Raw genomic sequence first — 24808 nt, forward strand, 5'->3', positions numbered from 1 at the left:
AGACATTGTCCTTCAGGAGCGCACAGGCAGTCATGTGAGCAGCCGATAATGTGGCAAAAAAGACACGTCCTGGGTGGCACCTGGTGGGGGTGGCCAGCCAACAGGAGGGACAGAGACCCCTCGCTGAGTGGAAGGAGGTGGTGAGCTATGTCTTGAAGGGCAAACAGTAAGGCAAGTGGGCAAAGGCAATCAAGAGGGAGCCGTGAGAAAGTAGAGGGCACAGGACCCAGCACTGAGGCCAGGGGCTGCAGAGATGTGACGTCCCCGGTGGGGAGGGTTGCTTACAGGAGGGGCAGTGGTTTCAGAGCCTGGACACACTGGGTTGAGGAGGCGCGTGAATATGACAGAATGACAATCGCATACCTTGGCTCTGTGGTTAACCTTAGCCAGGGGTGGGGCCGGTGGCACCGTGGAGAAGTGCCACTAGCCCCAGACTCTGAGTCCCCATGGAGGCCTAGGGCTCCATGTGCAGCCCAGGGAGACCCACCCTCCCGATTCCACACACTCAGGCCCAGAGCGAGTCAGGGGCCCCCTGCTCCCACACTCAGACCCTTGCAGGGCCCCCCTCCTTGACTTCCCGTGCAGCCCTTTCCTTATGATGGCCTCAGTTTCTAATCTGAAAATAAGATGAGGATTAGGAAATGTTGAAAATTTGAAATTGTGTGGCCTCTGCTCTTCCTGTGGGCTGGCACCCCCCAGCCACTCCCAAGACCTGTGGACAACTTTGGGGCAGGGCCAGGACATGGAGGCTGCTTTTGTTTTGTTTTGAGACAAGGTCTCACCCTGTCACCCAGGCTGGAGTGCAGGGGCATGATCGTGGCTCACTGTAGCCTCAACCTCCTGGAATTGAGCGATCCTCCTGCCTCAGCCTCCCAAGTAGCTGGGACTGCAAGCGTGGGCCATCACACCTGACTAATTTTTTTTTTATTTTTTATGAGATGGGGGCCTCATTTTGCTGCCCAGGCTGGTCTAGAACTCCACCCTCCTTAGCCTTTCAAAGTGCTTCGATGACAGGTGTGGGCCACCTTGCCCAGCCTGAGGCTGGTTTTCAAGCTGTCATCAACCATAGCCTCAAAGGGCCTTCGTCCTTCTCCATGGCGCCACCCAGACCCTCACCTGCTTGCTTAAACCACCCCCGAGGCACCTGCTTCCCCTGGGTGAAGACCTGAAACCTACCCCTTTTCGGCCCTCAAGGTTTCACTGCGTCAACCATTCTTACTCCCTCTGGGATCTTCTTGCCTTCCTGGCTGGCTGGACATTGAGGATGGTTGGATAAGGTTTCTGCTCCTCACGGAGGGTGGTGGGGACAGGAATGGAAAAGTAGGGGATTGGGGGCTGGAAGGGATTGGAGATCAGGGTGAGAAAAACTGGGGTGGGAGTTGGATTGCCCAGGTAAATAAGGCATGGGGACAGAAGTGGGCACGGCTGGCGAAGGCAGCGGGTGGTTGGGGTGAGCAGGAGCAGCGAGAATGGCTGGGATGAGCTGGAGGGGTGCCTGGGGGTCAGGGTGGAAGCAGAGAGCAGGGAGGAGTTTGAGGGGAGATGGGGAGCCCCCATCCTGCCCCCTGTGCTGAGCACTCTGCCTCAGCCTGAGCCATGCCCTCGGATGGGACCCCACCCTCTGGCCCCAGACCTGTCACCCATTTCTCCTTCGCTCTTAGAACAGCATGAAGAAGGTCAGACAAAGTCACTCTGAGTTGAGATGTTTGTTGCTTCCATTAGTTTAATGACAAAATTAAATGGGCCGGGCCAGGTACTTTTCCCGCAACCATCACTATAGCCACGGGCAGGCACGATGACTGGCAGCCCCTTCTAGAATCAGAAGTGGGTAAGCTTTGCGGAGTCAAACTGTAATGGTCTTCTAGAATCCAGACACTGACATTGGGTCTTCAGACTTTTTTATTGATACCTCCTAAATATTTGTAAAGAAATAGGTGCTATCCATTAAAAACACCCGAATAATATTTTCTTTAACAGTCAAAACTTTAATCTTCTTCTTTTTTTTTTTTGAGACAGGGTTTCACTCCCATTGCCCAAGCTTGAGTGCAATGGTGCGATCTCGGCTCACTGCAACTTCTGCCTTCTGGGTTCAAATGATTCTCCTGCCTCAGCTTTCTGAGTAGCTGGGATGCAGGTGCCACTGCACCTGGCTAATTTTTGTATTTTTTGTACAGACGGGGTTTTGCCGTGTTGCCCAGGCTGGTCTGGGGCTCCTGAGCTCAAGTGATCTGCCTGCCTCACCCTCTCAAAGTGCTGGGATTACAGGCATGAGCCTCTGCACTTGGGCCCACTTCTTCAATTCTTCTTGCCATTTCTTGAACCATATTTCCAAAGTCTTTTTCTGGTTATTTATGAGACACAACTTGATGCTCAGTTAAAATAAGTGAGGTCCGCTAACACTCAGTAGTGCAGCTGAAACCTATTCACATTCAAGTCACGAAATAGAACTTGTATGCCCTTCAGCTAGAGGAAGTGGGGCTACCTGACATAAAGGTAGAAAAATCCCCTGACACTCGGAGGAGATAAAGTGTCATGACTTAGATAGGGCATATAGGAGATAGGAGGTTTCATGACTCTCAGGTAAGGGAGATGAGACCTCCAGACAACCAGGAAGAGGTGAGAATACCTCCAGACCTCAGGGGGTTGAGATGAGAACTTTGGACACCCAGAATAGAGGAGATCTCATGATACTCTAGCAGAGGAGATGAAAGCTCCATGCCATTTAGACAGGGATATGAGACTATATTCAAGTAGAGGGTAGGACATGCCCTGGCACCCAGATGGGGGCAATGAGATCTCCCAACACTCTGGTATACCGGTGGAGACTTCAGAACATTCATATAGGTAAAATACAACCTCTTGACATTCAGCTGGAAGATGTAAGACCTCTTGATTTTCAGGTAGAGAAAGTGCGACAGGGTGACACTTGGGTGGTGGAGGTGAGAATTCTTAACCTGTAGGTGGAGGCGATGAGGGCCTCTGGCACTGAAGTGGAAAAACAGAGTTGTTATTTCTTTCAAAGAAGGAGGTGATCACTCCCTGATACTGGGTAAGATATACGAGACCTATTGAACATTCATTTGAGGATGTCATAAGTACGACATTCAGTTAGAGAAAATAGATAAATCAAGATCATCTGATAATCTGAAAACTCAACACTCAGGAATAGGAGATGAGATGTCCTGACACTCAGGTTGGAGGCATGGGACCTTCTGACACCCACTTAGATGATGTGCAACCTATTGACCCTCGGGCTGGTTGAGATCTTACATTCAGGTAGAAGAGGTAAGGCTGCCCTCATGCAGGTAAGAGTGTGACCTCCTGACACTTGCAGGCGATGGGAAATGTTTTAACATTCAGGTGTTTGCAATAAGCATTTGTCACACTCTGGTAGGTGAGATGCTAGTTCCTGATGATCAGATGGGAAAAATGATGCTTCATGATATTCAGGTAGCTGTATGAAAACTCTTGACATTCAAGTATAGGAGAAAACACCTTGCTCCACCTCAGTCACAGAAAGCCGATCTGGAGACATTCAGGATAATAGGAGACCTTGTGATATTCAGCAACGGACAGGAAGGTGGGCTTTGCAGTTGTAAATTAGGAAAATTCAAAATGACTCTTGGAAAAGTGTGTTGATAGCATTCACTTGGAAGAGGAAAAGAAAACTTCCCCAACAACAATTAAGGATCAATTAATCTGCTGACCCTGACTCCTCTGATCCACAAACATGTTGCACCGTCTCATCACTGAAGGGCTGAGCCGCTCCTCAGTCTGTGAGTCTGCAGTGGTCACAGCACGCATGAGAGGCAGACTCTGAACCTGCACAAAGCCAGAGCCTTGGGTGATGTGGGGACCTCGCAAGAGTTACTGGGAATGGAGATCCTGGCCTTGGGACAGAGGGAGTGGGGCTGCACAGGAGTCCCCCATCATCCTGGTGGTGGGGGAGCCTATGCAGGAAGTCAAGAAGTCTCTTCAGCACAAACCAGTTAAGGCGAGGGGCTCTTACCTGGCCTGACTGCTGGGGGTGGGGTGGGGGTCACCCCTGCTGATTGGCCAGGCAGCCACGGAGCTTTGTGAGGTCACTAGGCTTGCAGGCCAGGCAGTGCCAGGAGTATGGTTGAGATGCTACCAACTGCCATTCTGCTGGTCTTGGCAGTGTCCGTGGTTGCTAAAGATAACGCCACGTGTGAGTAAGTGTCGGGGCACCTTGGTGGGGGAAGGATCTTCTGAGGAGCAGGTACCACCCCGACTCCCTCTGTCCAGGGCTAGGGAAAAGGAGGCTGCATCCCTAACCTGGACCCCCCCTGCTCCCAGAATCAGCAGCCTGGAGCCCCCAGACCCTCAGCTTTCGTGGTTTCCTCCAGAGATGGACCCCTCAGCACCTCAGGCTCCTTGTGCCTCTCCCACTCCCCCAGGGACTGACCCCACTGTCTTGAAGACATGAAGTCCTGATTTTGGGAGCCCTTATCCCCCCACAGACAGCTGTCCCAACCCGTGGTTGCCCCCAACAGCCCCAGGATATCATCGCTTCACACCGCTTGCACCCCTACCCCCCAGTAGGCTCTCTCACTCCAAGGTACCCCGAAATACCAACACCTCCCAAGCTATATGTGGCCTCCCACCCGTGACACAGTTCCCAGAGCCTCCACCTCTAGACCTCCACTGCTCTCAGTGTGCCCCCTACACCTGTGGGCCACAGTATCTGCCCCTGGCTGCTATCCCTCCTCCCATCACTGTCAACGACCCCCTTCATCACCTGACTTCCCTGAGTCTCCCACCCAAGATTGGTTATAAGGACCTCAGGCCATTACACCCCTCTGTCCCCAGGCCCCGCATCCCCACCTCTACCCTCCTGTTCTGCCCAGGGACGGGCCATCCCTCAGGGCCCATGCAGCCTGTCCTGGCTTCCTATGGCCTCCTCTTTCTCCATCTGTGACTGCACCCACAAGACCTGAGAAGTCGTGGCCCCAGAACCATTTCCTAGAGCCTGCGGCTTCCTACATAGCGCAGGCTGCCCCTGCTTTCCCAGAACCCGGAAGCTCTTCCCCACTTTTCCCAACCCCATGTCCCTGCCTCCCCTCAGTTGTGGAGTTACAAGGACAGGCTGTGCTCATGCCAGGTTTGAACTGTGCTCTGGTCTCTCCCCAGTGGCCCCTGTGGGTTACGGTTCAGGCAAAACCCACAGGGTGGTGTCCGCATCGTCGGCGGGAAGGCTGCACAGCATGGGGCCTGGCCCTGGATGGTCAGCCTCCAGATCTTCACGTACAACAGCCACAGGTACCACACATGTGGAGGCAGCTTGCTGAATTCACGATGGGTGCTCACTGCTGCTCACTGCTTCGTCGGCAAAAAGTACGTGTAGGGATGCACTGAGGGAGGTCTTCAGAACGGCTCTTCTCAGAGAGGGGCGTTCCCCGGGGATGCTGTGCAGCGTCTCCCTGGGGCTCTGGGCCAAGTGGCTGCAAGACTCCGGGGGCTGGTCCAGACCTTTGCTAGGGGAAGGCCCTGAGGGTCGCTGTCACCAGGCTTTTGTCCAGCCGGTTGTGACCTGGCTTACCTTTGTGCCCACAGTAATGTGCATGACTGGAGACTGGTTTTCGGAGCAAAGGAAATTACATATGGGAACAATAAACCAGTAAAGGCGCCTCTGCAAGAGAGATATGTGGAGAAAATCATCATTCATGAAAAATACAACTCTGCGACAGAGGGAAATGACATTGCCCTCGTGGAGATCACCCCTCCCATTTCGTGTGGGCGCTTCATTGGGCCGGGCTGCCTGCCCCACTTTAAGGCAGGCCTCCCCAGAGGCTCCCAGAGCTGCTGGGTGGCCGGCTGGGGATATATAGAAGAGAAAGGTGAGTATGGGAGCGCCTCCAAGGGGGGACGCTGCTGGCCATTCTCCTGGTGGTCTTTGAGGTGCAGCGGTCACTTGTTGACACCCAGCCAGGCTGCTTTCATCCTCCTCACGGCGCTACACGTAGAGCCATCACTGTGGCCTTCCACAGTCCCCTGTGCCAGGTCACGTGATGGGTGACTCGTCTGGCTGTCTACGGGGGGGCTGACAGCAGGTGCAGGCAGAGCGCAGCGTTGCTTAGAATGGGGTTGAGGCTGTGTCTGTATTTGGCACCTGGGGCCCAAGCTGCTGGATCCTGGAAACAAGCAGCAACCCTGAAACAGCCTTTGGAGAAGAGCTCCAGATAAGGTTATGTGGCCGTATGACAGTGCCTTCCACTCTCTGGGCCTTGGTTTCCTCATCTGTAAATGGAGGGGCTGGATCAGATGGTCTCCAAGCTGACCATTTCCTAACACCTGTGATTCCAGGGCCCAGCCTTCCTGCTTCCAGGCTGTCTTTGTCACCATCAGCAGCCACCTCCGGTGCAGTCATAGCACCAAATCTACCCTCTCCATCTGAGTTACTTGACATTTGCTCTGTAGACTGGGAAGGGGACCGGTGGTTGGTGTGGCTTTCTGTGGGTCATAGGCATCCCTGTATTTCAGGCTTCCTGGAGTGTCCGGCAGGTACCTCTCCATTCAAGACGGGTGTAGCTGTCGCTCTAGAGCTCTGTCCATAACCAAGCTGTCTCTCTCTCCCCTGGCTCCCAGAAGATCTCTTGCCCATCCAACACTACCTGATACACTCGACACCAGATGAGTTCTAGAAGAGTAGGGGGAATTTCTTCCGTACCAGACCAGGCTCACGGAGGGCCCCAGGTGTGACCTAGAACAAATTGTCATTACTGACTCCGTGGTCAGAGACGCCCAGACACCTCTCCCTACATACTTAGGCACACTAGAGATACCATTTATCCCAGAAGCAACAGGTGACCCCATTAAATGGCAGCAGTGAGCAGCAAGGTTTTGCCAGCAGGACAAGACCCAGTAGGACTTGATCTCTGCATGTGACCTATACTTCCAGCTTTCCATAAGTGGTGCATCTCAATCTCTTTTTTTCTTGATAATGGATAATGAGGCTTCTTAATTCAAGGCAATTCAGTCATATGAGTCTAAAACGCAGCCTTTTTTGGGTAACAACAACAAAAAGTCAATAATTTGAGGATTCTTCCTTTAACTCTTATTTCCTTCTCTGAGGGCGTGGTCTAAGTTTCTGACAGGTTTGTCACCTCTCCTGTCCCTCAGGGAAGGGAGTCTCATCCCAGCTGTCCTTGTTCTCACTGGCCTCACTTGACACGTGGCCATCCCCTTCTGGCCTGGAGTGACAGCCTCTATTCCAGCTGCCGATACCCATGGCTCTGCCCTGGCCTCTGTCCAGCCCCCTAGCCTGCCATGCTCTGTCCCCTGTCTGATGATGTCCACAGCTCTTGGGGGTCCCTATGTTCCTGGGAGGCTGATCTTAGGGTCCCCACTGCCAACCGTTGCTGTCCTATTCTATTACTCAGACAGATTGTAGTGTCCTAGCTATATCTTGGATGCCATGCAAAACCTTTTTTGTTCTGGAATTCCCATAAACCTAATAGGATCACTCTGTTTCTGTTTGGGGTTTTTTTGTTTTTCATTTTTGCAAACACATCCTGTACCCATAAGCCCAAGTCTTAAAGAAACCCCCAGGCTCCAACTCCTGTGATCCCTTCAAACCTTCCATGTCTTACCACCTCCTTCAACTCATCTGCTTTGGGGCTGGAAGGGTATTGCTTGGGTATTGCTTCTTTCCCATTGGGTTTTGAGTCCCTGCAGACTTTTAAGCATTTGTTATTTAAAGCCCAGGTGTCGGCTGGGTGCAGTTGCTCATTCCTGTAATTTACCCAGCACTTTGGGAGGCCGAGGCAGGTGGATCACCTGAGGTCAGGAGTTTGAGACCAGCCTGGCCAACATGGTGAAACCCAATCTCTACTAAAAATATAAAACATTAGCAGGGTGTGGTGGTGGATGCCTGTTGTCCCAGCTACTCGGGAGGCTGAGGCAGGAGAATCACTTGAACCCGGGAGGTGAAGGTTGCAGTGAGCCAAGATCACGCCACTGCACTCCAGCCTGGGTAACAAGAGCGAAACTTCATCTCAAAAAAAACCCGCCAAGGTGTTGGGATTTAGAAAACCCTTTTCTGTTTGAGGACACCTGGCTCTTCACAATAAAACCCATGGCTTTCAAGACTATGGGCTCTGCCCTAGACTTAAAAAGTCATCTTGGCCGGGCGCGGTGGCTCACTCCTGTAATCCCAGCACTTTGGGAGGCCAAGGAGGGTGGATCACAAGGTCGTGAGATCGAGACCATCCTGGCTAACACGGTGAAACCTCATTTCTACTAAAAATACAGAAAATTAGCCGGGCATGGTGGCGGGCGCCTGTAGTCCCAGCTACTCGGGAGGCTGAGGCAGGAGAATGGCGTGAACCCAGGAGGCGGAGCTTGCAGTGAGCCGAGATGGCGCCACCGCACTCCAGCCTGGGCGACAGAGCAAGACTCCGTCTCAAAAAAAAAAAAAAAAAAAATCGTCTTAATGGCTAATAAGCCAGGATTGTTGTCATTGTTGTTTCAATGTCACCCCTACCCCAAGGGCAGTGCATGTACAAAACTCTCACTGCTGCTTGGATGGTAAGAAAAGGTGGGGGCTAAGGGGATTAAAAAACGGAAAGCCAGCGAGCACTCGTTCAGCAGCCGCTTACCAGACGCCTGCTGTGTGCCGAGCCCTATGCACGTCACTCGTGTGTCCCCTGTCTCCCGTCCTGGCCTGTGCAGCTATGTTCTGGGTCTGCCCCTACCTCAGTCTGCTCCCATCTGCTCTGCAGGTGACGTCCAGATCCACCCCCAGGGTTGTAGGTGCTGCTGCGGTGGGGGCCAGAGTGGCTGCTGCTGTTGGGGACCCTTCTGTCTGTGGGACCCCTTGAAAAGGAGCAACGCTGGCGCATGCGCCGTAGCATCGGGTCTTTCTAACCCAAAGGTCACGGTAGAGAGTCCAGCGCTTTCTTTCTTTTTTTGTTTGAGACGGAGTCTCGCTCTGTGGCCCGGGCTGGAGTGCAGTGGCGCCATCTCGGCTCACTGCAAGCTCCGCCTCCCGGGTTCACGCCATTCTCCTGCCTCAGCCTCCCGAGTAGCTGGGACTACAGGCGCCCGCCACCATGCCTGGCTAATTTTTTGTATTTTTAGTAGAGACGGGGTTTCACCGTGTTAGCCAGGATGGTCTCGAACTCCTGACCTCGTGATCCGCCCGCCTCGGCCTCCCAAAGTGCTGGGATGACAGGCGTGAGCCACCGCGCCCAGCCAAGTCCAGGGCTTTCAAGGAAGTCCGCATCGGGGTTGTTTCAACCGCCCCTGCCCCTGCCAGGTCTGCCCGTGTGTGGAGGCGCTGCCCCGAGCTTCCCCTGCGGTCTCCTCGGAACAGATATGCAGCATATGGGGAGGGACTTATTGACCCAGCTGCAGCAGATCCCGTCCGCAGCTGAGCCGAGGAGTTCTGAAGAGGGACAAGAAGCAGGGGGAGTGGCTTACAGCCAGACTGTGGGAGTGGACAGTGTGTCTCAGACTGGAGTCTGGAGAGGAGCAGTCCTGAGGCCAGGCTGCAGCCCCACCACCTCTCTACTGTGACCTGGGTGGGCGGTGCTCCAGCCTTCTGATCCAAAATGGGAATAACGGGACCATGTGACTCAGGGAGTGCTTGGTGCACACTAGGTGTTATTGGTAATACTGCAACTAACCTCCATAATCCATCGTTAATACGCACACCCACCCCCCATCCACCTGTCCACGGGCCTCCACCCTTCCTTCCTCTCTTCCTCTCTCCTCTGGCCTTGATTTGGATAACATTTCCCCACCTCCTCCCACCACCTCTAGTCTGCTCTTTCTGGTGTATAAGGAGGGGTCGGGGCATCGACTGGATGGGTCTGAGGTTTAACTGGAGCATCACAGAGGATGGGGTTCGGTGGGGCAAGGAGGCAGGGCTTTTGTCCGTGTCTCCCGTGATCACTGACCACCGAGTGGTCTGACTATAGCCCCCAGGCCATCATCTATACTGATGGAGGCACGTGTGGATCTCATCGACCTGGACTTGTGTAACTCGACCCAGTGGTACAATGGGCGCGTTCAGCCAACCAATGTGTGCGCGGGGTATCCTGTAGGCAAGATCGACACCTGCCAGGTAACCTTCCTTCTGGCTTCTGGGCCCCTGGGTCCCTCCAGGACTCTCCCGGCCCCTGAGAACATCCTCCTTTTGGATCCCCAAGCTCCACTATCTCCACTGCTCTGCCCAGGGCCCTTCTCTAGTGACTGCTTCCCCGGTCCCTTTTCTAGCACCTACTCTCACAGTGGGGATGAGCGGTGACAGCCACCGGCTGCCCCTGCCATGTGCCCCTGTGGACACGTGGGTTTGCTCATCTCACTGCAAGGAAAGCCCTGACAATTCACACCCTCCTCACATCCCAAATGAAGCCCCTGACACCCCCTCAAACTTTACTACAACCACTTGTGTTTACAGCAGCAGGAGACCATGTCACTGTGGAAATTGTCCTCCCAGAGCCTTCCGACCCCTCTGGGCAGGGGAAGAGTGGCTCAGGCAGATAGTGACCTCTGTGTCCTTCTGGACAGGGAGACAGCGGCGGGCCTCTCATGTGCAAAGACAGCAAGGAAAGCGCCTATGTGGTCGTGGGAATCACAAGCTGGGGGGTAGGCTGTGCCCGTGCCAAGCGCCCCGGAATCTACACGGCCACCTGGCCCTATCTGAACTGGATCGCCTCCAAGATTGGTTCTAACGCTTTGCGTATGATTCAATCGGCCACCCCTCCACCTCCCACCACTCGACCGCCCCCGATTCGACCCCCCTTCTCCCACCCTATCTCTGCTCACCTTCCTTGGTATTTCCAACCGCCCCCTCGACCACTTCCACCCCGACCACCGGCAGCCCAGCCCCGACCCCCACCTTCACCCCCGCCCCCACCCCCACCTCCAGCCTCACCTTTACCCCCACCCCCACCCCCACCCCCACCTACACCCTCATCTACCACAAAACTTCCCCAAGGACTTTCTTTTGCCAAGCGCCTACAGCAGCTCATAGAGGTCTTGAAGGGGAAGACCTATTCCGACGGAAAGAACCATTATGACATGGAGACCACAGAGCTCCCAGAACTGACCTCGACCTCCTGATCTGACCTGGTTCTCAACAGACCCAGTGAGCCCTTCACTCCTGAGAAAAAGGAAAGATGAAATAAATAAATAAACATATATATATAGATATACACACACACATATCTGTATGTATACATGCATATACATCAAGAGATGCTTTCTGGACTTCTTCCTATCCCCCCTCCCAACCCAAATTTCCCCTATAAAATCTACCCTCTCTCCTTCACCCTACAATAAGGCGGAATTGCTTGTACATTAGTGCCAATCGTGTTTTTTAAAATCTTGATTTTTAATGCTGGAATAAGGTGACCTGGGGCCGTAGACCGGGGATGGTCTTTATTTCACACTTAGGGAGAAACGACAAATGGTGAAAATAAAAGAGCCATCTCTGCATGTGCAAGTCAAAGGGGGTGGACCCCCAAAGCAGCAGCTGTGAGTGAGCTGACGGGGAAAGAGGGGGTGTGGGTCCAAGTCTTCTATCAGGAGGCTGGTGGTGTTGACACCCACAGAGAAGATTCTGCATGAAGGTTGAACTCCCCAGAACACAAAGGCTAAGGAGGCCACTAGGCCACCAAAACAAGTGTCTACTACCAAACACAATTTTGCTTGTGGCTTGTTAGTGTCCAGTTGACACCAACAAGCCTGTTCATTACTTGCCTGTAGTTAAATCTTATTAGTTCCTGGATTTGAGCAAATTAAAAAATGTATTCTTTGCTAGAGCTTTCTAGGAATTGCAATGGGGAATACTTTTTGGATGCCCCCGAGTGAGCTTTGAGTGGCTTCCTTAGGATTTGGGGTTATTTATTTTAAGACCTTCCATTGCAAGGAACAGAAACCAGTTAGAGCCATTTAAGTGATAAGGATGCAAAGATGTCACACAGAACCAATAGGAAAGGCCAGAAGCAGACACCAAGAATGGTGAGGAACCCAGGCAAGGCATGACCCTGGTCTGCATAGAGTACCTGCCCCACACTGCCCCATGCTGGGGGCAGCTGTCACCTGGAACTGTTCACATCTATTTGCAAAATCCTGGGGAAGAAATCCTCCAGCCTGACCAATATGGTGAAACTCCATCTCTACTAAAAACACAGAAAAATTAGCCAGGTGAGGTGGCGGTGCCTGTAATCCCAGCTACTCGGGAGGCCGAGGCAGGAGAATCACTTGAACCCGGGAGGCAGAGGTTGCAGTAAGGCGAGATCACGCCACTGCACTCCAGCCTGGGTGATAGAGTGAGACTCCATCTCAAAAAAAAAAAAAAAAAAAAAAGAAGGAAATCCTGATAGGTTCAGGCCAACCGCCCACTCTGATCAGGGAGTAAAAATGCAAAACTTGACTGCTGGTTTAACCCCTTGTGAGACTGAAGATGGCAGGTCTCAGAAAGAGAGAAAACCTTGGCATTTGGCTGAGCAGTCATTGCAACAAGCTTTCACTCATACGTGTGTCCACCTAGCTGCCTGTGTGAGTCAAGCGCAAGGTGGTCCTATGCCCCGGTTACCAAGACAGGTGGCAGAGAGAAGGTGCCATGGCAGGTGGGAGGAACCCTGGCTGAGAAAGCTCAAAGGACCAGTCATTTTCCTGCTGGAGCTGGAACCTGGACTGATGGAGCAGCTGTGAATCTTCATCTTCAAAATTTATTGGTCTACCTGGGTTCAAGCAAATACCCTGCTCTACCCCGCATAAGCTCCGTGCTCTGGGGAAGATGTGCCAGAGGGCTGTGTGACCATGAAATAAGGACAGATGCGGAGTATTAAAGCAGGTCTTGACACACCAGAAATGCCCACGAACGTGGGCTGTCATTCATGGGCCAGCTGGTGGTGACTGCTGGTGCATAATCTTACGCTTATCTGCAGGGGCACTTCGGTGCCTGCCGTTTTCCTCTTATGACCCCTGAAATGCTTTGGCCACATAGGAGGGCTTGCGTATTGAGTCGAATGGCCCATGGCTCTGTAGGATAGTAACAGTTGATCACACTTAAAACATTCTATCTGCCTTGGCTTAAGAGCTGGTGCTGCTGAAGTTGGAGTTGGTAATTCATTTTATTGACTTTTAGGCTCTCTCTCCTAAAGCCAGTTTCTTAATCTCCCTTTGTACTCTGGTGCCAGACACTTGACATTGTCTAAATACTAAGCATACAAAATGCAAGGCCCCGTGCAGAAGCCGTAACAACGGCAGCTTGGGATTCACCCTCAATGACCCTGAGCCAGACACAGAGCCAGGTGGGCCAGCACATGGAAGTATGGGGCAAGTTGTGCTGCGGTCACAAAGGGGTTTTGGACAAGTTGGGGTGGAGCTACAGCAGCAGCAGCTTTTTTCTACCCCAGAGACTTCACTGCTTCTCTTCTGAGCTTTCTGTGATCCAGAGTTGATTTTCTTGGTTCTCTCTCCCCATAAATGCTCCTTGTCCTTAGTTTCTTCTCTCCCCAGTGATGGAGAAAATCTTACCCTGGGCCTATCATCTATAGCTGACATCTGGGCCTCCTTGGAGAGACAGGGCCTACTCTCAAGGAACACCCTATGAGAGGCCATAGACTGGGTGGAGAATTCAAGCCGTGATTCCTGGAAACTTCACATGCACATTAATATGGTGACATGTCACATAATCTCCTGATCCTTCACCATTCACACTACTCTATGACTTGCTTTTCCATTTAGCAAATATAGAGGTATTTCTATGTTAGTGTGTACAGGCCCATCTTATGTCTCTAAATTGATCTTCCACAATAGGGATACTTAGAAGACAAAGTGGCACAGTTCTTTCCTAGGAAGGAATGTTTAGCCTTCCATGCATGAGAGTGCCCATTTCCCTACATCTAAGCCGACACTGTTCTTACGAAATGTGTCTATCTTTACCAATGTAATAGATGTTCCAATTTTCATTTTTAAAATTGACGCTCTTTGATCTGCCTTCATGTTCCTATGGATAGTTTAACCCTGAAAAGGTTAAACTTTCAGATCGTGAAGCAGGTGTCTCCTGCTCATAGTGACAGGAGAAATGGAAGAATGACCAGCTGTGTGACAAACCAAAACTCCAGGGACCTAGACATCTAAGGGGTGTGCCCACCTAGACATCCGAGGGGTGTGCCCACTTAGACATCCGAGGGGTGTGCCCACCTAGACAACTGAGGGGTGTGCCCACCTGGACAACCGAGGGGTGTGCCCACCTAGACATCCGAGGGGTGTGCCCACCTAGACAACCCAGGGGTGTGCCCACCTAGACATCCGAGGGGTGTGCCCACCTAGACATCCGAGGAGTGTGCCCACCTAGACATCCGAGGGGTGTGCCCACCTAGACAATCTGAGGGGTGTGCCCACCTAGACATCCGAGGGGTGTGCCCACCTAGACATCCGAGGAGTGTGCCCACCTAGACATCCGAGGGGTGTGCCCACCTAGACAATCTGAGGGGTGTGCTCACCTAGACATCCGAGGGGTGTGCCCACCTAGACAACCGAGGAGTGTGCCCACCTAGACATCCGAGGGGTGTGCCCACCTAGACATCCGAGGGGTGTGCCCACCTAGACTATCTGAGGGGTGTGCCCACCTAGACATCCCGAGGGGTGTGCCCACCTAGACATCCGAGGAGTGTGCCCACCTAGACAACCGAGGGGTGTGCCCACCTAGACAACCGAGGGGTGTGCCCACCTAGACATCCGAGGGGTGTGCCCACCTAGACATCCGAGGGGTGTGCCCACCTAGACAATCTGAGGGGTGTGCCCACCTAGACAACCGAGGGGTGTGCCCACCTGGACAACCGAGGGGTGTGCCCACCTAGACATCCGAGGGGTGTGCCCACCTAGACAACCGAGGGGTGTGCACACTTAGATATCTGAGGGATGTGCTCACTGTTTTCTCATGGGACGGCTAAGCAAATGAAAAATATTTGTAAAAACTGAATTCATAATGAAGCTTACTGATCGGAACAATAAAAGAAAATGGTTTGACAGTGGCTAAACTGTACAGGGCAAGACTCTGATGCCAGAACAGTGGGCGCGGCAAGGATCATGCACAATATTGACACTCACAGAGGCAGAGGTCCTCGCTGTGCCTCTCATCAATATAGGAAATCTTACAATATTTGCAAGGGAAAATGTTCTGGTGAATCCAATCTTAGCAAATTTACAATGGAAATGTGAAAAAATGAAAACGGTTCATCTTTAATATGTAGAAAACTGACCAAGAAACAGAAGTTAGCTTAATGGAGTTTACTCCAGAAACTCTATTCTTGGTAAAGAATCATCAGTGATCTAATTCTGGACACTACACATGGGTTTTTGCATGGGCATGTGCTTTCATGTCTCTCGGGTAAATACTTAGGGGTGGAATGACTGGATCATACGGTGGGTGTAAGTTTTGACATACAAATGCATCCCTGAAGCAATCACCACAACCCAGAGAGTGAACACGTCCGTCACTCCCTAAAGTTTCCTTGTGGCACTTTGCAATCCCTCCAGCCTGTCCCCTCTCCTGCCCCAGGCAATGTCTGGTCTGCTTTGTCTCATATCAATTTGCTTTTCTCATAATTTTATATAAATGAAACCCTATAGCAAGCCCTTTTAAAAATCAATCTTCTTTCACTCAGCATAATCATTTTGAGATTCATTTTGTGTATCGGTGATTTATTTCTTTCCATTGCTGAGTATTTCATCACACGGCTATACCACAGTTTGTTTTCCTATCTACCTATTGATGGACATTGGGTTGTTTCCAGTCTGCGCTATTCCAAATGAAGCAGCTATGCGCACTCAAATACAAGGATTTGTATGGGCATACATGTTCATATCTCTTGGCTAACCATGTGTGTGAGGAATGGCTGGTAGGTATATGTTAAAAAGCACTTTTTGAAAAACATTGAGTGTTTTCTCAAAGTGATTGCAACATTTCACAGTCCCATCAGCAGTATATGAGAGTCCCGACTCTTCCACATCCTTGACAAGATTTGGTATGGTCAGCCTTTTTTATTTTCTTTTATTATTATTATACTTTAAGTTTTAGGGTACATGTGCACAATGTGCAGGTTTGTTACATATGTATACATGTGCCATGCTGGTGTGCTGCACCCATTAACTCGTCATTTAGCATTAGGTATATCTCCTAATGCTATCCCTCCCCCCTCCCCCTATCCCACAACAGTCTCCGGAGTGTGATGTTCCCCTTCCTGTGTCCATGTGTTCTCATTGTTCAGTTCCCACCTATGAGTGAGAACATGTGGTGTTTGGTTTTTTGTCCTTGCGATAGTTCGCTGAGAATGATGGTTTCCAGTTTCATCCATGTCCCTACAAAGGACATGAACTCTTCATTTTTTATGGCTGCATAGTATTCCATGGTGTATATGTGCCACATTTTCTTACTCCAGTCTATCGTTGTTGGACATTTGGGTTGGTTCCAAGTCTTTGCTATTGTGAATAGTGCCACAATAAACATATGTGTGCATGTGTCTTTATAGCAGCATGATTTATAATCCTTTGTGTATATACCCAGTAATGGGGTGTCTGGTCAAATGGTATTTCTAGTTCTAGATCCCTGAGGAATCGCCACACTGACTTCCACAATGGTTGAACTAGTTTACAGTCCCACCAACAGTGTAAAAGTGTTCCTATTTCTCCACAACCTCTCCAGCACCTGTTGTTTCCTGACTTTTTAATGATCGCCATTCTAACTGGTGTGAGATGGTATCTCACTGTGGTTTTTATTTGCATTTCTCTGATGGCCAGTGATGATGAGCATTTTTTCATGTGTTTTTTGGCTGCATAAATGTCTTATTTTGAGAAGTGTCTGTTGATATCCTTCACCCACTTTTTGATGGGGTTGTTTTTTCTTGTAAATTTGTTTGAGTTCATTGTAGATTCTGGATATTAGCCCTTTGTCAGATGAGTAGGTTGCGAAAATTTTCTCCCATTTTGTAGGTTGCCTGTTCACTCTGATGGTAGTTTGTTTTGCTGTGCAGAAGCTCTTTTGTTTAATTAGATCCCATTTGTCAATTTTGGCTTTTGTTGCCATTGCTTTTGGTGTTTTAGACATGAAGTCCTTGCCCATGCCTATGTACTGAATGGTGTTGCCTAGGTTTTCTTCTAGGGTTTTTATGGTTTTAGGTCTAATATTTAAGTTTTTAATCCATCTTGAATTAATTTTTGTATAAGGTGTAAGGAAGTGATCCAGTTTCAGCTTTCTATATATGGCTAGCCAGTTTTCCCAGCACCATTTATTAAATAGGGAATCCTTTCCCCCTTTCTTGTTTTTGTCAGGTTTGTCAAAGATCAGATGGTTGTAGATATGTGGCATTATTTCTGAGGGCTCTGTTCTGTTCCATTGATCTATATTTCTGTTTTGGTACCAGTACCATGCTGTTTTGGTTACTGTAGCCTTGTAGTATAGTTTGAAGTCAGGTAGCGTGATGTCTCCAGCTTTGTTCTTTTGGCTTAGGATTGACTTGGCGATGTGGACTCTTTTTTGGTTCCATATGAACTTTAAAGTAGTTTTTTCCAATCTTGTGAAGAAAGTCATTGGTAGCTTGATGGGGATGGCATTGAATCTATAAATTACCTTGGGCAGTACGGCCATTTTCATGATATTGATTCTTCCTACCCATAAGCATGGAATGTTCTTCCATTTGTTTGTATCCTCTTTTATTTCATTGAGCAGTGGTTTGTAGTTCTCCTTGAAGAGGTCCTTCACATCCCTTGTAAGTTGGATTCCTAGGTATTTTATTCTCTTTGAAGCAATTGTGAATGGGAGTTCACTTATGATTTGGCTCTCTGTTTGTCTGTTATTGGTGTATAAGAATGCTTGTGATTTTTGTACATTGATTTTGTATCCTGAGACTGCTGAAGTTGCTTATCAGCTTAAGGAGATTTTGGGCTAAGACAATGGGGTTTTCTAGATATACAATCATGTCATCTGCAAACAGGGACAATTTGACTTCCTCTTTTCCTAATTGAATACCCTTTATTTCCTTCTCCTGCTAATTGCCCTGGCCAGAACTTCCAACACTATGTTGAATAGGAGTGGTGAGAGAGGGCATCCCTGTCTTGTGCCCGTTTTCAAAGGGAATGCTTCCAGTGTTTGCCCATTCAGTATGATATTGGCTGTGGGTTTGTCATAAATAGCTCTTATTATTTTGAGATACGTCCCATCAATACCTAATTTATTGAGAGTTTTTAGCATAAAGCATTGTTGAATTTTGTCAAAGGCCTTTTCTGCATCTATTGAGATAATCATGTGGTTTTTGTCTTTGGTTCTGTTTATATACTGGATTACATTTATCAGTTTGCGTATGTTGAACCAGCCTTGCATCCCAGGGATGAAGCCCACTTGATCATGGTGGATAAGCTTTTTGATGTGCTGCTGGATTTGGTTTGCTAGTATTTTATTGAGGATTTTTGCATCAATGTTCATCAAGGATATTGGTCTAAAATTCTCTTTTTTGGTTGTGTCTCTGCCAGGCTTTGGTATCAGGATGATGCTGGCCTCATAAAATGAGTTAGGGAGGATTCTCTCTTTTTCTATTGATTGGAATAGTTTCAGAAGGAAGGGTACCAGCTCCTCCTTGTACCTCTGGCAGAATTCGGCTGTGAATCCATCTGGTCCTGGACTTTTTTTGGTTGGTAAGCTATTGATTATTGCCACAATTTCAGAGCCTGTTATTGGTCTATTCAGAGATTCAACTTCTTCCTGGTTTAGTCTTGGGAGGGTGTATGTGTAGAGGAATTTATCCATTTCTTCTAGATTTTCTAGTTTATTTGCATAGAGGTGTTTGTAGTATTCTCTGATGGTAGTTTGAATTTCTGTGGGATCGGTGGTGATATCCCCTTTATCATTTTTTATTGGGTCTGATTCTTCTCTCTTTTCTTCTTTATTAGTCTTGCTAGCGGTCTATCAATTTTGTTGATCTTTTCAAAAAACCAGCTCCTGGATTCATTAATTTTTTGAAGGGTTTTTTGTGTCTCTATTTCCTTCAGTTCTGCTCTGATTTTAGTTATTTCTTGCCTTCTGCTAGCTTTTGAATGTGTTTGCTCTTGCTTTTCTAGTTCTTTTAATTGTGATGTTAGGGTGTCAATTTTGGATCTTTCCTGCTTTCTCTTGTGGGCATTTAGTGCTATAAATTTCCCTCCACACTGCTTTGAATGTGTCCCAGAGATTCTGGTATGTTGTGTCTTTGTTCTCGTTGGTTTCAAAGAACATCTTTATTTCTGCCTTCATTTCGTTATGTACCCAGTAGTCATTCAGGAGCAGGTTGTTCAGTTTCCATGTAGTTGAGCGATTTTGAGTGGGTTTCTTAGTCCTGAGTTCTAGTTTGATTGCACTGTGGTCTGAGAGACAGTTTGTTATAATTTCTGTTCTTTTACATTTGCTGAGGAGTGCTTTACTTCCAACTATGTGGTCAATTTTGGAATAGGTGTGGTGTGGTGCTGAAAAAAATGTATATTCTATTGATTTGAGGTGGAGAGTTCTGTAGATGTCTATTAGGTCTGCTTGGTGCAGAGCTGAGTTCAATTCCTGGGTATCCTTGTTAATTTTCTCTCTTATTGATCTGTCTAATGTTGACAGTGGGGTGTTAAAGTCTCCCATGATTATTGTGTGGGAGTCTAAGTCTCTTTGTAGTCACTAAGGACTTGCTTTATGAATCTGGGTGCTCCTGTATTGGGTGCATATATATTTAGGATAGTTAGCTCTTCTTGTTAAATTGATCCCTTTACCATTATGTAATGGGCCTTCTTTGCCTCTTTTGATCTTTGTTGGTTTAAAGTCTGTTTTATCAGGGACTAGGATTGCAACCCCTGCCTTTTTTTATTTTCCATTTGCTTGGTAGATCTTCCTCCATCCCTTTATTTTGAGCCTATGTGTGTCTCTGCACATGAGATGGGTTTCCTGAATACAGCACACTGATGGGCCTTGACTCTTTATCCAATTTGCCAGTCTGTGTCTTTTAATTGGAGCATTTAGCCCATTTACACTTAAAGTTAATATTGTTATGTGTGTATTTGGTCCTGTCATTATGATGTTAGCTGGTTATTTTGCTTGTTAGTTGCTGCAGTTTCTTCCTAGCCTTGATGGTCTTTACATTTTGGCATGTTTTTGCAGTGGCTGGTACTGGTTTTTCCTTTCCATGTTTAGTGCTTCCTTCAGGATCTCTTTTAGCACAGGCCTGGTGGTGACAAAATCTCTCAGCATTGGCTTGTCTGTAAAGTATTTTATTTCTCCTTCACTTATGAAGCTTAGTTTGGCTGGATATGAAATTCTGGGTTGAAAATTCTTTTCTTTTTCTTTTTTTGGTAGCACAGTGAGTGGAGTTTATTTTTATAATTTGTAGAAAATTGACATTTAGATTTCAAAACTTATATTACAAAATTATCAGCAGCAGTCTTAAGCATTTCAACCATGCTGATAGATTCCACTTTGCTAACACAAACAAGGCTATTATACTATGTTTGAAAAGCAAGACTTGTTCCAAGACGGCCTATTATTATACATCTGCCTCACTGCTCAGGACCCGTTTGTGACTGTGTCTTCTTCCATCTCTTCTTCACCATCATCAGTGGGCCCCAATCTGCGTTCTCTGCCAGGGATCTGACCAGACTGCAGCAACCCCTTCAGCCTCTCCACTTCAGCCAGAGTTGAAGCATTTGCTATAGCATTCTTGATTGCTTCTACATCCCCTGGAGATGGCCCACCTTTCTTTTTGTCAGTTGGCAAACCAGCACCTGGATTAAAAGTTTTGCTTCTCCTGGCAATATCCTTTGCAAGCTGTGCACCCCGTTTGCCCTTGAACATTTTCTCTGCTTCCTGACGCTCTTTAGTTTCACTTTCTGGAAATCCAGTACTCTGATTTGCGGAACTTTATAAATCACATACAATCTGTAATGCTTCTTATTGGTTACTGGATTTCTTAGGATACTTAGGTAAGTCAGCGATTTGAGAGATGCCAGAGGGTCCAGATCACCCAGTTCCACGAGCCTATTATTGGTGAGAATGAGTTCTGTCAGACAGGGCAGAGCCTGATCAAGTCCCTCACCTATACGGCATATTCTGTTTTGTTCACTAACAACGTTTTCAGTCTTCTCAACAAAGGAAAACCATCCAGTTTCCTGATCTCATTGTCAGAAAAATCAATAGCATCAAACTGGTCTAACGTAGCACCTAGATTTTCAATGACGGGAATTTTATACCCCCGGAGGTCCAGCTCCCGGTCGCGCACCGCGCTGGTGTACTGCGCCGCCTGCTCGATCAGCTCCGCCGTCAGCTTGACCATCCTGCGGCCTCCCGTTCCCCCGCGCTGTGGAAAGCTGAAAATTCTTTTAAGAATGTTGAATATTGGCCCCCACTCTCTTCTGGCTTGTAGAGTTTCTGACGAGAGATCCGCTGTTAGTCTGATGGGCTTCCCTTTGTGGGGAACCCGACCTTTCTCTCTGGCTGCCCTTAACATTTTTTCCTTCATTTCCACTTTGGTGATTCTGACAATTATGTGTCTTGGAGTTGCTCTTCTCGAGGAGTATCTTTGTGGCGTTCTCTGTATTTCCTGAATCTGAATGTTGGCCTGCCTTGCTAGATTGGGGAAGTTCTCCTGGATAATATCCTGCAGAGTGTTTTCCAACTTGGTTCCATTCTCCCCGTCACTTTCAGGTACACCAATCAGATGTAGATTTGGTCTTTTCACATAGTCCCATATTTCTTGAAGGCTTTGTTCGTTTCTTTTTATTCTTTTTTCTCTAAACTTCCCTTCTCGCTTCATTTCATTCATTTCATTTTCCATCACTGATACCCTTTCTTCCAGTTGATCGCATCGGCTCCTGAGGCTTCTGCATTCTTCACGTAGTTCTCGAGCCTTGGCTTTCAGCTCCATCAGCTCCTTTAAGGACTTCTCTGCGTTGGTTATTCTAGTTATCCATTTGTCTAATTTTTTTTCACAGTTTTAAACTTCTTTGCTATTGGTTTGAATTTCCTCCTGTAGCTTGGAGTAGTTTGATCATCTGAAGCCTTCTTCTCTCAGCTCGTCAAAGTCATTCTCTGTCCAGCTTTGTTCCATTGCTGGTGAGGAGCTGCGTTCCTTTGGAGGAGGAGAGGCGCTCTGCTTTTTAGAGTTTCCAGTTTTTCTGCTCTGTTTTTTCCCCATCTTTGTGGTTTTATCTACTTTTGGTCTTTGATGATGGTGATGTACAGATGGGTTTTCGGTGTGGATGTCCTTTCTGTTTGTTAGTTTCCTTCTAACACACAGGACCCTCAGCTGCAGGTCTGTTGGAGTTTGCTAGAGGTCCACTCCAGACTCTGTTTGCCTGGGTATCCACAGCGGTGTTTGCAGAACAGTGGTTTTTCATGAACCGCGAATGCTGCTGTCTGATCGTTCCTCTGGAAGTTTTGTCTCAGAGGAGTACCCGGCCGTGTGAAGTGTCAGTCTGCCCCTACTGGGGGGTGCCTCCCAGTTAGGCTGCTCAGGGGTCAGGGGTCAGTGACACACTTGAGGAGGCAGTCTGCCGGTTCTCAGATCTCCAGCTGCGTGCTGGGAGAACCACTGCTCTCTTCGAAGCTGTCAGACAGGGACATTTAAGTCTGCAGAGGTTACTGCTGTCTTTTTGTCTGTCTGTGCCCTGCCCCCAGAGGTGGAGCCTACAGAGGCAGGCAGGCCTCCTTGAGCTGTGGTGGGCTCCACCCAGTTCGAGCTTCCCGGCTGCTTTGTTTACCTAATCAAGCCTGGGCAATGGCGGGCGCCCCTCCCCCAGCCTCGCTGCCGCCTTGCAGTTTGATCTCAGACTGCTGTGCTAGCAATCAGCGAGACTCCGTGGGCGTAGGACCCTCCGAGCCACATGCAGGATATAATCTCCCGGTGTGCCGTTTTTTAAGCCCGTTGGAAAAGCGCAGTATTAGGGTGGGAGTGACCCGATTTTCCAGGTGCCGTCTGTCGCCCCTTTCTTTGACTCGGAAAGGGAACTCCCTGACCCCTTGCGCTTCCCGAGTGAGGCAATGCCTCGCCCTGCTTCAGCTCGTGCACGGTGCGCTGCACCCACTGTCCTGCGCCCCCTGTCTGGCACTCCCTAGTGAGATGAACCCTCAGATGGAAATGCAGAAATCACCCGTCTTCTGCGTCGCTCACGCTGGGAGCTGTAGACCGGAGCTGTTCCTATTGGGCCATCTTGGCTCCACCACCCTGGTCAGTCTTTTTAATTTTAGTCATTCTGATAGGTGTGTGATAATATTTCATTGTGGTTTTAATTTGCATTTGCTTAATGACTGGTGATGTGAAGCATATTTCATGTGCTCATTGTCATCCATATATCTTCTTTGGGGAAGTGTCTGTTCAAATCTTTTGCCTATTTAAAAACTTCTGTTGTCATCTTTTTATAGAGTTTTGAGAGTTCTTTTTACGTGCTGAATGTAAGTTCTTTGTCAGCTGTATGCATTGTAAATGTCTTCTCCAAGTCAGAGCTTGCTTTTTAATTCTCTAAACGGTGTCTTTTGGAGCTCAGCAGTTTTAAACTTTGAGGGAGTACAACTAATCACTGTATTCTTTATTGTTACATATTATTTGGTATATCTATTCATTTATTTAGGACTTCCTCAGTTGTCTCAGCAATGTTTTATAGTTTTGAGTGTGCAGGTTTTTCACATATGTTGTCAGAATTATTTATTTATTTATTTATCAGAATTATTTATAAGTATTTCATATTCTGATACTCAATTGTTGATTCCTAGTATACAGAAATACAATTGATTTTTGTGTGGTTATCATGTATCTTGAAATCATGGATCATGCTTTTGGTGTATGGTCTAAGAGATTTTTGCTTAACCCAAGGTCACAAAAATGTTCTTTTATGTTTTATTCTAGAAATGTTAGAATTTTAGGTTTTTCACTTAGGTTTATGATCCATTTTGAGTTAATTTTTGTATTTGGTATGAACTTGGATTGAAATTTTTTTTTTTTTTTTCCTGAGACATAGTTTCACTCTTGTTGCCCAGGCTGGAGTGCAGTGGCATGATCTCAGCTCACTGCAACCTCTGCCTCCCAGGTTCAAGTGATTCTCCTGCCTCAACCTCCTGAGTAGCTGTGATTACAGGCACTCACTACCACGCCTGGCTAATTTTTTTGTATTTTTAGTAGAGATGGGGTTTCACCATGTTGGCCAGGCTGGTCTTGAAATCCTGACCTCAGGTGATCTGCCCATCTCAGCCTCCCAGAGTGCTGAGGATTATAGGCATGAGCCATCGTGCCCGGCTGAAAATTCTTTGGTATATGATGTCCAATTGCTCCAGCACTATATGTTGAAAAGATTCTCCTTTTTCCATTGAAATGCCTTTGTACCTCTGAAGAAAATCAGTCGTTCATATATGTCTGGCTCTGCTTTTGAGCTATTTTGTTCCTTTCATGTATTTGTTTATCTTGACACCAGTACCACACCATCTTACTGCAAATGGGTTTATAATAAGTCTGGAAATCAGGTAGTATACATCTTCCAACATCTGTGTTTTCTTAAAGCTGTTTTGACGGGTTTAGGTCCTTTGTATTTCCATATGAATTTTAGCATGAGTCTGTTGATTTCTACAATAAAAATTCTGGCCGGGCGCGGTGGCTCACGCCTGTAATCCCAGCACTTTGGGAGGCCGAGGTGGGCGGATCATGAGGTCAGGAGATCGAGACCATCCTGGCTAACAAGGTGAAACCCCATCTCTACTAAAAATACAAAAATTAGCCGGACATGGTGGTGCATGCCTGTAATCACAGCTACTCAGGAGGCTGAGGCAGGAGAATGGCGT

At 48.3% G+C, this 24808-nt stretch overlaps 1 protein-coding gene, 1 long non-coding RNA gene and 2 pseudogenes across 3 annotated transcripts in view, besides 1 other annotated feature; 2 read left to right on the forward strand and 2 right to left on the reverse strand.

The window, feature by feature from the left end:
- Positions 1710 to 4050, reverse strand: LOC105373100 (uncharacterized). The gene is made up of 2 exons (NR_134637.1): positions 3271 to 4050; positions 1710 to 2985 (listed from the first exon to the last, which is right to left on the reverse strand). It is a non-coding gene; the product is annotated as an uncharacterized LOC105373100 (long non-coding RNA).
- Positions 4051 to 4084: 34 nt separating this feature from the next.
- Positions 4085 to 11220, forward strand: ACR (acrosin). Its single transcript, NM_001097.3, has 5 exons — positions 4085 to 4193; positions 5152 to 5355; positions 5575 to 5858; positions 9942 to 10087; positions 10534 to 11220. The coding sequence occupies exons 1-5, from the start codon at positions 4117 to 4119 to the stop codon at positions 11086 to 11088; spliced, it is 1266 nt and encodes a 421-aa protein (NP_001088.2). The 5' UTR covers positions 4085 to 4116; the 3' UTR covers positions 11089 to 11220.
- Positions 5582 to 6378: an enhancer, noted in NCBI's record as "H3K4me1 hESC enhancer chr22:51178129-51178925 (GRCh37/hg19 assembly coordinates)". NCBI's record gives its function as "activates a minimal SCP1, AML or CMV promoter by ChIP-STARR-seq in primed H9 embryonic stem cells {active_cell/tissue: H9 hESC(primed)}" and the evidence as "EXISTENCE:reporter gene assay evidence [ECO:0000049][PMID:30033119]".
- SNRPA1P2 (SNRPA1 pseudogene 2) lies at positions 20335 to 21349 on the reverse strand (annotated as a pseudogene).
- RPL23AP82 (ribosomal protein L23a pseudogene 82) overlaps positions 22967 to 24808 on the forward strand; it is a 42552-nt pseudogene continuing 40710 nt past the window's right edge. The window contains exon 1 of the transcript NR_026981.1: positions 22967 to 23207. The product of NR_026981.1 is annotated as a ribosomal protein L23a pseudogene 82, transcript variant 1 (transcript). The remainder of the gene's footprint in view (positions 23208 to 24808) is intronic.

This window comes from Homo sapiens, chromosome 22, assembly GCF_000001405.40.
Source record: "Homo sapiens chromosome 22, GRCh38.p14 Primary Assembly".
Lineage (NCBI taxonomy): Eukaryota > Metazoa > Chordata > Mammalia > Primates > Hominidae > Homo > Homo sapiens.

Coding starts and splice junctions, on each gene's coding strand:
- ACR (NM_001097.3), top strand. CDS start 4,117: ATGGTTGAGATGCTACCAACTGCCATTCTGCTGGTCTTGGCAGTGTCC. Junction 4,194..5,151: donor AAAGATAACGCCACGTGTGA/GTAAGTGTCGGG, acceptor GTCTCTCCCCAG/TGGCCCCTGTGGGTTACGGT. Junction 10,088..10,533: donor GCAAGATCGACACCTGCCAG/GTAACCTTCCTT, acceptor CCTTCTGGACAG/GGAGACAGCGGCGGGCCTCT.